At 38.2% G+C, this 16,313-nt stretch overlaps 1 long non-coding RNA gene and 1 pseudogene across 1 annotated transcript; one reads left to right on the top strand and one right to left on the bottom strand.

The window, feature by feature from the left end:
* Positions 1-300: 300 nt before the first annotated feature.
* LOC124903721 (uncharacterized) lies at positions 301-1,081 on the bottom strand. The gene is made up of 2 exons (XR_007065118.1): positions 991-1,081; positions 301-672 (listed from the first exon to the last, which is right to left on the bottom strand). It is a non-coding gene; the product is annotated as an uncharacterized LOC124903721 (long non-coding RNA).
* Positions 482-1,517, top strand: RPSAP56 (ribosomal protein SA pseudogene 56; annotated as a pseudogene).

Genomic DNA, 16,313 nt, shown 5'->3' with positions numbered 1-16,313 from the left:
AAGATCAGTAACTATGCTAGTTTCTTTGTCTATTTTAATTCTTATGCTGTATTATAGTTAGAGGGCATCTGTTTGTTATTCACCATGAACTCTTTTAGAGCAGGGATTGTATCTTAAATAATTACTTGTCTAATCTCAAAGTTCATAATTTTTTGGCAGCACCGGGAATATAACTTGCTGTACTAGAGCTATAACACACTATGAAGTATGAAAAGAGCACTTTTTAAAATTGTGAAACATGCATATAAAAGAATATAAAATTATGTATATGTGGAACTTAAATATGACTAATACAACAAATACCCATGTATCCATTTTATTTATGTGTGTACACTCTTCCCTGTCCCCTGGAGGTGGCCATTATCTTTCACTAATTCTTCCTTTGATTTTATATAAATTTGTATAATACATATATGTATCCATAAACAATGTATGACTTGGTTTTGCATGGTTTTTTGCACTTTATATAAATAAAATTACGCTTTTCCGCACTACCTACAGAGGTGTCCATACAGCGTTGTTCTGGATTCCCGTCGTAACTTAAAGGGAAACTTTCGCAATGTCTGGAGCCCCTGATGTCCTGCAAATGAAGGAGGAGGATGTCCTTCAGTTCCTTGCAGCAGGAACCCACTTAGGTGGCACCAAACTTGACTTCCAGATGGAACAGTACATCTATAAAAGGAAAAGTGATGGCATCTACATCATAAATCTGAAGAGGACCTGGGAGAAGCTTCCGTTGGCAGCTCGTGCCATTGTTGCCATTGAAAACCCTGGTGATGTCAGTGTTATATCCTCCTGGAATACTGGCCAGAGGGCCATGCTGAAGTTTGCTGCTGCCACTGGAGCCACTCCAATTGCTGACCGCTTTACTCCTGGAACCTTCACTAACTAGATCCAGGCAGCCTTCCCGGAGCCACCGCTTCTTGTGCTTACTGAACCCAGGGCTGACCACCAGCCTCTCACGGAGGCATCTTATGTTAACCTACCTACCATTGCTCTGTGTAACACAGATTCTCCTCTGTGCTGTGTGGACATTGCCATCCCATGCAACAACAAGGGAGCTCACTCAGTGGGTTTGATGTGGTAGATGCCGGCTCGGGAAGTTTTGCGCATGCGTGACACCATTTCCCATGAACACCCCTGGGAGGTCATGCCTCAGCTCTGCTTCTACAGAGATCCTGAAGAGATTGAAAAAGAAGAGCAGGCTGCTGCTGAAAAGGCAGTGACCAAGGAGGAATTTCAGGGTGAATGGACTGCTCCAGCTCCTGAGTTCACTGCTACTCAGCCTGAGGTTACAGACTGGTCTGAAGGTGTGCAGGTGCCCTCTGTGCCTATTCAGCAGTTCCCTACTGAAGACTGGAGCACTCACCCTGCCACGGAAGACTGGTCTGCAGCTCCCACTGCTCAGGCCACTGAATGGGTAGGAGCAACCACTGAATGGTCTTAAGCTGTCCCTGCATGGGCTCTTAAGCAACATGGAAAAATGGTTGATGGAAAATAAACATCAGTTTCTCAAATAAATAAATAAATAAGTAAAATTACATGGCATGTATTCTTCTGTAAAGTGCTTCATTTTTTAACAATATATTTTTGAGATTCATTGATGTTGCTGCATGCAGCTAATAATTCACTCAAGTTAATTGCTGTATGTTATTCCATTTTATTAATAGACCACAATTTATCCCTTCTACTGTTAATAGTCATTTGGATTTTTTTGTTATTCATACCAAAATACTCCTGTACATGTCTTTTGGTTACATACGCAAGGGTTTCTCTAAGGCACATGTAGAAATGAGCTCCTACATCATAGAGTCTGGACACCAACTTTACTAGATAATGCCAAACTTTTTTTTTTTTTCCCTAAGATGGTTGCACTACTTAACATTCATACTAGCAGAAGAGAGTTTCCTATTCTTTTAAAAAATTAATTTTGGTAAACATATGCATAACATACAATTTACCATCTTAACCATTTAAGTGTGGAGTTGAGTAATATTAAGTATATTCACATTGTTGTTTAACTAGTCTCTAGAACTTCTTCCTCCTATGAGACCAAAAGTCTATACCCATAAGATGATAACTCTCCCTTTCTTCCTGCTGCCTGCCCCTGGCAACTGCCATTCTACTTTTTGCTTCAATTAATTTAATTACTGTAAATACCTCATATAAGTAGAATCATGGTATTTGTCTTTTCGTGACAGTTTTATAGGTTTCATTCGTGTTATAGCATATGTAAGAATTTCCTTTTTTAAGGCTGAATAATATTCCATTGTATGTATCTACCATGTTTTGTTTATCCATTCATCCATTGACTTGGTTCTTCTGATACTTGGGTGCTTCCACTTTTAGCTGTTACAAATAATGCTACTGTGAACATGGATGACCAATATCTCTTTCAGATTGTACTTTCAGTTCTTTTAGATATATATCCAGAAGTGGAGTTGCTGGATCCTATGCTAACTCTATTTTTTTGAGGAACTGCCATAACCATCTACCATAGTGGCTTCACCATTTTACATTTCCACTAACAGTGCACAGGGGTTGTAAATTTTTCATATTCTTTTTGATGGTAGCCATTCTGATGGGTGTAAGGTGATAACTCGTTGTTTTGATTTGCATTTTTCTAATGATTAATAATATTGAACATCTTTTCAATAATTGTGTGTCTTCTTCGGAGAAATGTCTATTTAACTCCTTTGCCCATTTAAAAATCAGGTTGTGTGGGTTTTGTTGTTGTTGTGGAGTTACAGAGTCCTTTATTCTGAATATTAACCCCTTAACATATAGGTGATTTGTAAATATTTTCTCCCATTTGGTAGGTTGTCTTTCACTCTGTTGTGTCCTTTGTACAGATGTTTTATATTTTGATGTAATCCAATTTATCTACCTTGACTTTCGTTGCTTGTGCTTTTGGTATCATATTTAATCATTGCCCAATCCAATTTTATGAAGTTTTCCTTTCTGTTTTTTTCTAAGAGTTTTATGGTTTGAGGTCTTATAATTCATTTCGAATTTTGTCTATGTTGTAAAGTAATGCTCTAACTTAATTTTTTTTGCATGTGGATTTCTAGTTTTTCTAACACCACTTGTTGAAAAAACTATTCTTTCACCATTGAATGGATTTAGCATCCTTGTCAAAAATCATTTGATTGTATATGCAAGAGTTTATTTCTGAGCATTCTATTCTATCTCATTGGTCTATATGTCTCTTTATGCCAAGACCACACTGTTTTGATAACCATAGCTCTCTAGCAAGTTTTGAAATCAGAAAGTGTGAAACCTCCAATGTTGCTCTTCTTCTTAAAGATTGTTTTGGTTGGCCGGGCATGGTGGCTTATGCCTGTAATCCCAGCACTTTGGGAGGCCCATGCAGGCAGATCATGAGGTCAAGAGATCGAGACCATCCTGGCCAACATGGAGAAACCCTGTCTCTACTAAAAATACAAAAATTAGCTGGGTACGGTGGCACGTGCCTGTAGCCCCAGCTGCTTGGGAGGCTGTGGCAGAAGAATTGATTGAACCTGGGAGCAGAGGTTGCAGTGAGCTGACTGCACTCCAGCTTGGCAACAGAGTGAGACTCCGTCTCAAAAAAAAAAAAAAAAAAAAAAAAAAAAGATTGTTTTGGCTATTCAGGGTTTTGAGACCCTGAGTATAAATTTTAGGTGGTTTTTGTATTTCTGAAAAAAATACGCCATTGGGATTTTGGTAGGAAGTATATTGACCCTGTAGATTGTTTTAACAATATTAAGTCTTAACAATCCGTGAACGCGGGATGACTTTCCATTTATTTGTGTTGTCTTTAATTTCTTTCAGCAGTGCCTTTGAGTTTTCAGTGTATAAGTCCTCTGCTTCCTTGGTTAAATTCATTCCTAAGTATTTTGCTCTTTTTGATGCTACTGTATATAAAATTGTTTTCTTAATTTCCTTTTCTGATTGTTCAACTGTTTATAGAAACACAACTGATTTTTGTGTGTTGATTTTATATCCTGCAACTTTGAAGTTAACTAGTTCTAACAGTTTGTATGTGTAGGCACATGTGCACACGTGAAGTTAACTAGTTCTAACAGTTTGTATGTGTAGGCATGTGTGCACACGTGTAATCTTTAGGGTATTCTACATATAAGATCATGTTGTCTGCAAGCAGGGACAATTTTCTTTCCTTTCCAATTTGGATGCCTTTTATTTTTTTTTCTTGCTCAGTTGCTCTGGCTAGGAGTTCTAATATACAACATAACACTTCTATTAATATGTTGAGTAGAAGTGGCAAAACTGAGCATCCTCATCTTGGTCTTGATCTTAGAGGAAAAAAAGTTCAGTCTTTCATCACTGAGTATGTTAGCTATGAGCTTTTCATACATGAACTTTATTATATTGAGATAGTTTCCTTATATCCAGAGTTTATTGAATATTTTTATCTTGAAAGGATGTTGCATTTTGTCAGATTTTTTTTCACATTGAGCTGGTCATATGTTTTTTCCCATCATTACGTCAATGCTTCATATGTTCTACCCAGTTCCTAGTTGTATATAGTAGAGGGAAGCACAAGTCTGATAACAAGCATTCTACATGGCTGGAAGCCTCTAGATGTTGATTTTTTTCCAAATATCTTTAAAAATGTCTACTCACTGTTAATGATTAACATCTTGGATTCAGTTTTTTAACCAAGTATACTTGGTTATAGTTCAGTTACATGTACATGTCTTTTGGTTACATACGCAAGGGTTTCTCTAAGGCATATGTAGAAATGAGCTCCTACATCATAGAGTTTGGACACCAACTTTACTAGATAATGCCAAACTTTTTTTTTTTTCTAAGATGGCTGCACTACTTAACATTCATACTAGCAGAAGAGAGTTTCCTATTCTTTTAAAAAATTAATTTTGGTAAACATATGCATAACATACAATTTACCATCTTAACCATTTAAGTGTGGAGTTCAGTAATATTAAGTATATTCACATTGTTGTGCAACTATTCTCTAGAAATTCTTCCTCCTATGAGACCAAAAGTCTATACCCATAAGATGATAACTCTCCCTTTCTTCCTTGGTTATATTTCTATCATCATCTGTTTTGTATTTCTCTTGCTATTTCCTTTCTCCTTTTACCTTCCTTCCTTGCCTTATCTTCTGATTGTTTGAACTTTGTTGTTGCTGTCCATTTGTGTAGTTAAATAATATCTTAATCTTCTCTCCAAGTCATTGTTCTTACAACTCTTATCTTGTTCCTCAAAAGTCATGTACAATCATTGTCAAAATAGTTTAATTCTACCTTTTGTTGTTAGTACCACAGTTTATACATCATCATCATCGGTATGAATACTTTTATGGACATTATTTGTTTGCATTTACGTTCATGTTTCTTTTTATTTGCTTACCATTTATTTTTGTATCTCAAGCCTCCTTTCTGGGGTTATTTTCCTTCTTCTTGAAGGGCATACTTTTTTTTTTTTTTTCTTTTGAAACGGAGTCTCGCTCTGTCACCTGGGCTGGAGCGCAGCTCACTGCAACCTCCACCTCCCAGGTTCAAGCAATTCTCCTGCCTCAGCCTCCCGAGTAGCTGGGACTACAGGCATGTGCCAACACGCCCGGCTAATTTTTTGTATTTTTAGTAGAGATGGGGTTTCACCGTGTTAGCCAGGATGGTCTTGATCTCCTGACCTCGTGATCCACCCGCCTTGGCCTCCCAAAGTGCTGGGTTTACAGGCGTGAGCCACTGCACCCGGCTGGGCATACTTTTTTGATAGGAGAATTATCACGTTTTACTGAAACATACTAAAAAAGACATTGACAAATGGAAGTGTGGTTCTTGGATTTAAAAAATCAGTACTTTACAGATTCTTAAAAATATTTAAGTTGATGTATGAATTCAGTACAATCCCAATTAGAATCACAATCATTTTTTCAATACAAGTTAAAAAAATGTAAATTAAAAAAATGTCCAGCTTTTATTTAAAGTTTAGGGGTACATGTGCAGGATGTACAGGTTTGTTACATGGGTAAACATGTGCCATGGTGGTTTGCTGCACAGATCATCCCATCACCTAGGTATTAAGCCCAGCATCCATTAGCTATTCTTTCAGATGCTCTCCCTCCTCCCACCCCCCAACCCTTTGACAGACCCAAGTGTGTGCTTTTCCCCCACCACGTATGTACTTGTGGTTTCGTCATTCAGCTTCCACTTATAAGTGAGAACATGCGGTATGTGATTTTCTTTTCCTGCATTAGTTTGCTGAGGATAATGGCTTCCAGCTCCATCCATGTCCCTCCAAAGGACATGATCACACTCCTTGTTATGACTGCATAGCATTCCATGATGTATATGTATCACATTTTCTTTATCCAGTCTATCATTGATGGGCATTTAGGTTGACTCCATATCTTTGCTATTGTGAATAGCGCTGCAGGAAACATGTGTGCATGTATCTTTGTAATACGATGATTTATGTTCCTTTGGGTATATACCCAGTAATGGGATTGCTGGGTCAAATGGTATTTCTGCCTCTAGGTTTTCAAGGAATCACCACACTGTCTTCTATAATGGTTGAACTAATTTACACTGTCACCAACAGTGTAAAAGCATTCATTTTTCTCCATGACCTTGCCAGCATCTGTTGTTTTTTGACTTTTTGGTAATATCCATCCTGACCGACGTGAGATGGTATCTCATTGTGGTTTTGATTTGCATTTCTGTAATGATCAGTGATGTTTGAGCTTTTTTTTCACATGTTTAGCCACATGTATGTCATCTTTTGAGAACTGTCTGTTCATGTCCTTTGCCCACTTTTTAATGGTGTTGTTTTTTTTCTTGTAAATTTAAGTTCTTTGTAGATTCTAGATATTACACCTTTGTCAGATGGATAGATTGAAAAAATTTTCTCCCATTCTGTAGGTTGTCTGTTTTCTCTGAGTTTCTTTTGCTGTGCGGAAGCTCTTTGGTTTAGTTAGATCCCATTTGCCAATTTTTGCTTTTGTTGCAATTGCTTTTGATGTCTTTGTCATGAAATCTTTGCCCGTGCCTATGTCCTGAATGGTATTGCCTAGATTTTCTTCTAGGGTATTTATAGTTTGAGGTTTTACATTTAAGGTTTTAATCCATCTTGAGTTAATTTTTGTATAAGGTGTAAGGAAGGGGTTCAGTTTCAATCTTCTGCCTATGGCTAGCCAGTTCAGCACCATTTATTAAATAGGGAATCCTTTCCCCATTGCTTGTTTTTGCCAGGTTTGTTGAATTTCAGATGGTTGTAGGTGTGTAGTCTTATTTCTGAGTTCTCTGTTCTGTTCCCTTGGTCTATGTGTCTGTAACCAGTACCATGCTGTTTTGGTTACTGTAGCCTTATAGTATAGTTTGAAGTCAGGTAGCATGATCCCTCCATCTTTGTTCTTTTTTCTTAGGATTGTCTTGGCTATATGGGCTATTATTTTTATTCCATATGAATTTTAAAATAGTTTTTTTCTCATTCTGTGAAGAATGTCAATGGTAGTTTAATGGGAATAGCATTGAATCTATAAATTACTTAGGGCAGTATGACCATTGTTACGATACAGATTCTTCCTATCCGTGAGCATGGAATGTTTTTCCATTTGTTTGTATCATCTCTGATTTCTTTCATCAGTGGTTTATAGTTCTCCTCGAAGAGGTCCTTCACTTCCTTTCTTAGCTGTATTCCTAGCTGTATTTTATTCTTTTCGTGGCAATTATGAATGGGAGTTCATTCATGATTTGGCTCTGGGCTTGCCTGTTGTTGGTGTATAGGAATGCTAGCAATTTTCGCACATTGATTTTTGTATCCTGAGATTTTGCTGAAGTTGCTTATCAGCCTAAGAAGCTATTGGTTTGAGACAATGGGGTTTCCTAGATATCAGATCATGTTATTTGCTCACTAAGATAGTTTGACTTTCTTCCTATTTGAATACCCTTTATTTCTTTCTCTTGCCTGACTGAAGGGCATACTTTTAGAAGTTCCTTATACAGGCCAGGCGTAGTGGCTCATGCCTGTAATCCGAGCACTTTGGGAGGCCGAGGCGGGTGGATCATGAGGTCAGGAGTTCGAGACCAGCTTGGCCAAGATGGTTAAACCCCGTCTCTACTAAAAATACAAAAATCAGCCGGGCGCAGTGGCGGGTGCCTGTAATCCCAGTTACTTGGGAGACTGAGGCAGGAGAATCACTTGAACCCAGGAGACGGAGGTTGCAGTGTGCACTCCAGCCTGGGCGACAAAACAAGACTCCGTCTCAAAATAATAATAATAATAATAATAATAATAATAATAATAATAATAATTGTTTCATTACTTTGAAACATTATTCTCTTTATCTCTTATGGGTATTGAGAAGTCAGTAAATTCTAAATGTTCTTTTATTAGTTTTCTAGTGTTCTTGATGGTTTCTCTTAAGGTATTCTTTTTGGTATTCTGCAGTTTCACTACATTGTACTTAGGTGCGGGTTTCTTACTTATCTGGCTTGGAATATGCTATAATTCTAGAATCACTGGAATCAAGCTTTTCATTAGTTCTTAAAAATTCACAGCCTTTATCTTTTTAAATTTCCTCTCCTGCAGTTTCTCTATTTTCTTTCACTGGTATTCCACGTAGATATAGTTTAGACCCAATTATTCTGTCCTTTATACCTCTTAACATTTCTCTTATGTTCTCCATCTCTTTGTTTTCAAATTCTTGATAATGTCTTCATGTGAATTTTCCATTTCATAAATTCTCTCTTCAGCCACAATGAATCTGCTATTTAACCCAACCATTAAGTACTCTATTTCAACAGCTACACACACACACACACACACACACACACACACACACACACACACACATACATATACACACATTTAGGTTTGGGGGTACTTGTGCAGGTTTATTATATGGATAAATTGTGTATTGCGGGGGTTTGGTGTACAGATTATTTCATCACCCAGAGCCTGACAGGTAGTTTTTCTGCCCTCATCTTCCTCTCTCCCTTCACCCTCAAGTAAGCCCTGGTGTCTGTCGTTACCTTCTTAGTGTCCATGTGTACTCGACGTTTAGCTCCTAATGAGTGAGAACATGCAGTGTTTGGTTTTCTGTTCCTGTGTAAATTCACTTAGGATAGTAGCCTCTAGCTGTATCCATGTTGCTGCAAATGACATGATTTCATTATTTTTTATGGCTGTGTGGTAGTCCATGGTGTATATGTACCACATTTTCTGTATCCGGTCTACCATTAATGAGAATCTAGGTTGATTCCATGTCTTCACTATTGTGAATAGTGCTCAAAAGCTATATTTTAATGTTGAGAGTTCCATTTTTTTCCCAAATTTCTGTTAATTGCTGATACTCTCTTGTTGCTTTTTTTGGTCATTGTAACTGTGCTCTTACTTCTTTAAGCATTTTTGCCCACAGATGCTGTCTTCTGTGTCTGAAAGTGCAGTGTTTACATTATTTGAGTGTCTATAACTTTTACATGTGTTGTGTCTGTGGCTCTCATTCATAATGTCTTGCCTCCTATAATAATATGCTTATTGATATCTTATTGTGATATCTACCTTTTAATCTTAATCATTGAGAGTTCTCCAGACCTAATTCATAGATATACTTCTTCAGAAAAGAAGTAGTTCTTATTTCTGTAGCCAAGAGATGCCTCTAATCTGGTTCCAATTTTGGGGTTCTTAGTTGAGGGCAAAAGTCTCAGGCCTAACTTCTTTCCTTGTTGGCCCAAGTCTCAATGTCTTGACTGGGTGCTTCAGCTGGCATTGCTTTCAGAGTAACATTGTCCCTCCTCATTATATGTTGCTGTGGCCTCAGCTTAAGGTTTTTGGTGGAGAGAGTGAAGTCTTGGATCTTTTGAGACCCTCTCTATGACTTGTTAGATCAATGAAGCCTTAAGAATGTCCTACTCAGGCCAGGCGCAGTGGCTCACGCCTGTAATCCCAGAACTTTGGGAGGCCGAGGCAGGTGAATCATGAGGTCAGGAGATTGAGACCATCCTGGCTAACATGGTGAAACCCCGTTTCTACTAAAATTACAAAAAATTAGCCTGGCATGGTGGCGGGCACCTGTAGTCCCAGCTACTCGGGAGGCTGAGGCAGGAGAATGGCATGAACCCGGGAGGCGGAGCTGGCAGTGAGCCAAGATCGTGCCACTGCACTCCAGCCTGGGCGACAGAGCAAGACTCTTTCTCAAAAAAAAAAAATGTCCCTCTCAGAATATAGTAGTTGTGAGTTATGGACCCCCTCAGTGCTTTTGGATAGCCATAATGCTAAAAGGAGATGTCATATGGTTTCTTTTTAAAATATTACTTTAAAAACAAATTATTGCTAGTATAAAGAAATCCATAAAATTTTAAAAGCTCAACTAGTTTATCTCTAAATTTTTTGGAATTTCTCTGTACATAATCATATATCTTGCTAATAATGACAAGGGTTTTTTTTCAATCCTTATAACTTTTAATTCATTTTATTTTCTTACTGTAGTGACTAGAACCTCCAATACAATGATTAATAGAAGATGTGATAGTGGTCATCCTTGTTTTTTGTCTTCAAAGGAATGCTTTCTGTGTTTCACTACTAAGTATAATGTTTGATGCAATGTGTATTTGTGAGTATGTTTACAGTGCAATGAATTCTTGGAGAGAGCTTCGTAAGATTTAAATTTGATCTTGAAAATTGAGTAGGTTGATATGTCGTAGCCCTATGGCATGCCCTAACTAGATTATATTGGTTACCCAAAGAAAAGGTTGGAAGGGTTCATAAAATTTTTAATCCTGTGTTTGCACATTCTTCATTCATGCATATATCTGAGCATAGCAAAGCTAAACCTATCATTTTTGTTTCCCAGTTCCTCTATAATTAATATATACATGGCCTTTCTGGGTGTATAATTCTAACCTCAGGTAAAATTAGTTGTGCAGTAGAGCTCAAACATTGATGAAGTTAGTATCTTTCAGAGAGGAACAGTGATGGAGTGTGGTTTATCAAATTTTCTTTTCTTTTAGCAAAGTTTCTTTTTCTCAGTTACCTTGATCAGGAAGAGATACAGCCAGCCTTTAGCAATAAGAACCTCATCAGCTCTTGAATTCTGTGAGCCTGAGACAGATTCTGCAGGAAATGTGTATTTTTTTTTTTAAAGCTTTCAACCCACCTACATTCTAGAATACATTTTTCTACCTTCCACAAGCTACCACATAGTTCTCTATGCTACCAAGCCCTTGTTCCCCACCAACTGTTGACTGGATGAATGTGGGCACTGACCTAAACGTGCTTTTTTCCTGAACGTTAGGAATTAGAACCCAGGTAAAGCTAGACATTTTGTCTTCAAGCAAGTGAACCTGAACCATGTAAACTCAGTAGCTACGTCACGGTCATCTGCTCCTACTATGGGAACTGTGGAGAAGACAGAATTCATAGAGAAGTTAAGCAATGGGCAGAAAGGGCTACCAGTGTCCCTTACCATGTTCCTCTTCCTCATTTCAATTCCTTTCTGAACCTACCAGCCTTACACCGTTCAGGTTCCATGAGACACCCCCATGTCCTTATATTGACTTTTCTTTTCTTTGTGAAGGCCTTAGGGGGCCACTGACTTTTTTATCTAATATACCTGAATTTAACTCCTAGTTTTACTGCATGTCACCTGTGTGGTCCTGAGAAAGTTACTTAACCCCTCTCAACTTCTGTATCTGTAAAATGGGGATAGTGACTTCTACTTTGCAAAGTTCTTGTGAAGATTTGAGCTAATGGATGTAGAACAACTAGGTGAGGGTAGATTTTCTTTTTTTCTTTCTTTTTTTTTTTTTTTTTTGAGATGGAATCTTGCTTTGTTGCCCAGGCTGGAGTGCAGTGGCGTGATCTCAGCTCACTGCGACGTCTGCCTCCCAGGTTCAAGTAATCCTCCTGCCTCAGACTGCCGAGTAGCTGAGACTACAGGTGCCTGCCACCACGCCTTTTTGTATTTTTCAGTAGAGACAGAATTTCATCATGTTGGCCAGGCTGGTCTCGAACTCCTGATCTCAGGTGATCCACCCGTCTCAGCCTCCCAAAGTGCTGGGATTACAGGCATGAGCCACTGCACCCAGCTGACTTTTAATAAATAACAGTTATTATTTTTAAAATGATTTTCCCGGTATGCTAGATCTGATAGTCATTGTTTACATTTCTCATGCATCCTATTCTTCCTTTTGTTGCTGCTGTTTGGATGTGTGCTCTGTCTTCCCATTAGATTGTGAGCTTCCTGACAGGATAGAGTTTAACATGTGCTTTTCTATACCCTATTGTGGAAACCTTCCCAGTATTTGTGTTCAATATATACTTATTAGATGGGATAAATACTTTGGGGATCTCTTGTCAGACTAAACCAGAAGAGTTGGTAGTAGACCACTTTACTTATTACTGATTACTGCTATCTTCATCAAGCTAGCCAAGTGCAAGCTCTGTCTTCTATTCCAGAAAGGACTGCTCTTAAGTGAACAATTTGGCCCCTTTGATAGGCAACTAAAGACTCTATATTATTTCAGTCTTAGTTTTTCAAATCAAATCCTATAAGGAAATTCAATATATGAAACAGATATAAGCAGAAACTTTATGGCTAAGCAGGAGAGAGAGGCCCTGAGCCCTATATCCGATTCTTAGGGTAGACACCAAGGCACCTTAGGGCTCTGTGGAAAACATTTTGAAAACCATTACTTTGGATTATCTAGAATAGTCTGCACAACAAATAGCTATCATGGGTTTTTACTGAATTTAAGAAATGTGAAACCAGAGGAGAAAGATACCATAACCCTTCCCAGAGCGATTATGAAGGTTTTAGAAAGCTTTAGGGGATCATGGTCAAGCCTGTTGTAATTGATCATGTGGGGACTTTTGGCCACTATTACAAGCAAGAGTGGTTTTGATGAGGTAGAATAGAAAATGTCCTGGCTTCGATATCAGAAGACATGGGTTTGAGTCCTGTTTCTTTTTCTTAGTGGCCATGTGACTTTAGGCAACTCTGCAACCTCGCTAAGTCTCACCTGTAAATTGGGAATAACGTCCCCATCTACTTCATAGATCTGTGAGCTCAAATGAGAAAGAGGTGAAATGGTTTTGGAATCTAAAAAATAGTACTAAATAAATACGAGACATTTTTAGTAGTAGGCTTCAAGGATTAAAGAGAAAAAATAGTTTATGTAATTAATGACTTCCCCTAAATTTCAGCTGTTTTCATCTTGTGATATGGGATGCACACATTCCTCATTATTTTCACCAAGATAAAAACTCAAGTAGCTTTAGTATCCATAAATGTCTTCTTACTGATCTGGAGTTTGTTTCTCCAAGTCGTCACAGTTTTTGAATAGTTTTCACATTAGCCAGACATTAAAAGCACATTGTAGGCTGGGCACGGTGGTTCATGCCTGTAATCCCAGCACTTTGGGAGGCCGAGGCAGGTGGATTACCTGAGGTCAGGAGTTCGAGACCAGCCTGGCCAACATGGTGAAACTCTGTCTCTACTAAAAATACAAAAATTAGCCAGGTGTGGTGGCGTGTGCCTGTAATCCCAGCTACTCGGGAAGCTGAGGCAGGAGAATTGCTTGAACTTGGGAGGTGGAGGTTGCAGTGAGCCGAGATCATGTCACTACACTCCAGCCTGGGCAACAGAGTGAGACTCTGTCTCAAAAACAAACAAACAAATAAAAAGACACATTGTGAACTTCCACTTCTGGAAAGATGAAATAGTCATTTTTATCTATTCATCCCACTAAGTTCAGCTAATTCTTTCTGTTATAAAGGTGGAAAGAAGAAGGTAGACTAGGTAGTGACCTTGGTATCCAAGAAAGGACACAGTGATCAGTCTCCTGGGTGTTTGCTGCTTTCCATGTATCCCGGACTGGGTATCAGAGAAGCTGGCAACCTGGAAATTTCAATGAGCACACACAAAAAAGGACCCAGGTAAAGCCTTTGCTCTCCAGCCAGAGGACCAGGGAAGGAATAGCCTAGCAGGATGGAAAACTTTGAGTCAGGATATTAGTTTGCTAGTGCTGCTGTAACAAAGTCCTGTGGACTGATTAACTTAGACTATGCAAGTTTATTGTCAGTTCCGGAGGCTGGATGTCTTATACCATCATGGTGTTGGCAGGTTTGTTACTTCTCAGGGTTGTGAGGAAGGGATCTTTCCAGATGTCTCTGTGGCTTATAGATGGCCATCTTCTACTACGTCTCTTCACACCATCTTTCCTCCATGCATGTCTGTGTCCAGATTTCCTCTGTTTATAGGGATGCCAGTTATGTTGGACTAGGGCCAACCCTCATGACCTCATTTTAACTGATGACTTCTGTAAAGACTCTATCTCCATATAAAGTCACGTCCTGAGTTTCTGGGGGTTAGGACTTAAATATGTGAGTCTGGGGATGACACAGTTCAACCTATGACAGATAGTACCTGCACTACTCTAGCCAAACATCACAGAAAAACTCTGATCTTATCCCATGCCCCACCAGCAAAGGCCGAGTAGAAAGCTTATTCTTCCATCTTGGCCAGGCTCTAATGAGGTATCCCAATCCATCCCAATCCACCATTTCCATTAGTGAAGACCATGTGGGGAGCTTGGACTCCCCGTTCCTCACTTCTCACTGTGATTGTGTCCCATCCTCTCCCAGGCAGGTGATATCAGTGGAAGCCTACTGGGAAGTCTAAACTCTTATTCACTCCCAGCAGTAACAAGAAATTCTCTGGATGTCAGTGGAGGTAAAGTAGAGAAGCTGGACTTCTACCATCATCTGGCAGTAAAGAGATAGCTTGACCCCTTACCCTGCTGGAGTGGTGTCAGAAGAGGCCTGTTAAAACAGATTTCAATAAGACACAGAGTCTTACAATGTCCAAAATGTTGAGGTATTAATAAAACAGTACTTCTTATACTAAGAACCAGGAAGATCTCAATGTAAATGAGAAAAGACAATCAACAGACACCACCACTGAGATGACACAGAGGTTAGAATTATCTGAAGCAGCCATCCTCAAAATGCTTCAACAAGCAATTATCAACATGCTTGAAACAAATGAAAATGGAGAAAGTCTCAGCAAAGAAAGCCTCAGCACAGAAAGAAAAGATATAAACAAGAAACAAAAGCTTTAGAACTGCAAAATACAATAATGGAAATTAAAAACTCAATGGATAGGCCACTAGCAGAACGAGGAGGAGAGAGGAAATAATCACTGATTCTGAAAATAGAGCAATAGAAATTAATCAACCTGAACAACAGAGAAGAGAGAGACTGAAAAGAAAATAAAAGGATATATGTGACTATAACAAAAGATCTATCATTCAGGTCATTGAAGTCCCAAAAGGAGAAGAGAAAAAAGATGGGGCTGAAAAAGTATTCAAAGATATAATAGTTGAAAATTTCCCAGATTTGGCAAAAGACCTGAACCTACAGACCCAAGAAGCTGAGTGAACCCTGGGGAGTAGAAACCCAAATACATCCACATCAACACACATCATTGTTGAACTTTTGAAAACGAAAGTCAAAGAAGAAACAATACATTATTTATGGAAAAAGCAATTCAAATTACAGTATTTTTTTCATCAAAACCTATGGAGCCCAGAATGAAGTGGCATGAGATTTTTCAAGACCTGAAAATAAAGAATAGTCAGCTCCAATTCTATTTACACTGAAAATATCCTTCAGGAATGAAGGAGAAATCAAGACAGTTTCAGACAAAGAAAAGCTAATGAAATTTGTTGCCAGCAGACCTATTCTAACAGAATAGATAAACGAATTTTTTTAATAGAAAGGAAATAAAAAAGAAGGAATCTTGGAATATCAGGAATGAGGAAATAACAACAGATTTCAATGTCTTGAATTTTCTAAACTAAGTGTGATATTTGAAGCAAAAACAAAATAGCACCGTCCAATATGTCTCAATGTATTAGGGATTTTTTTTTTTTTTTTTTACAAAGGAGAAGCTATAGGGATGATATAAAGCAACATGAGGTTTCTAAACATCACTAAACATACTGATGTTAGTATCAGTAGACTGCAATAAATTATGTATATACAGTTTAATACCTATAGCATATACTGAGAGCTGTCCAAACAGATACACTAATGAAAAACACAAACTAAAAAGAAATAAAAAACAAAGTCTGAAAATTGCTTAACTAACTCACAAGAAGGCAAGTAAAAGAAAACAAAGAAAAAATAACCCAGGTAAAACAATCAGAAAACAAAAAATAAAATGGCAGATTTAGGTCTTAACATATCAATAATTACATTAAATGTGAATAATCTGAGTACACAAGTAAAAATACAGAGATTGGCAGAATTGATTTAAAAAAAACCACATTGTCCAACTATAT

The sequence above is a fragment of the Homo sapiens genome, chromosome 16 (genome assembly GCF_000001405.40).
Source record: "Homo sapiens chromosome 16, GRCh38.p14 Primary Assembly".
Taxonomy (NCBI): Eukaryota; Metazoa; Chordata; class Mammalia; order Primates; family Hominidae; genus Homo; species Homo sapiens.
The sequence above is the reverse complement of the archived record's forward strand: the minus strand, read 5'-3'. Positions and strand labels throughout refer to the sequence as shown.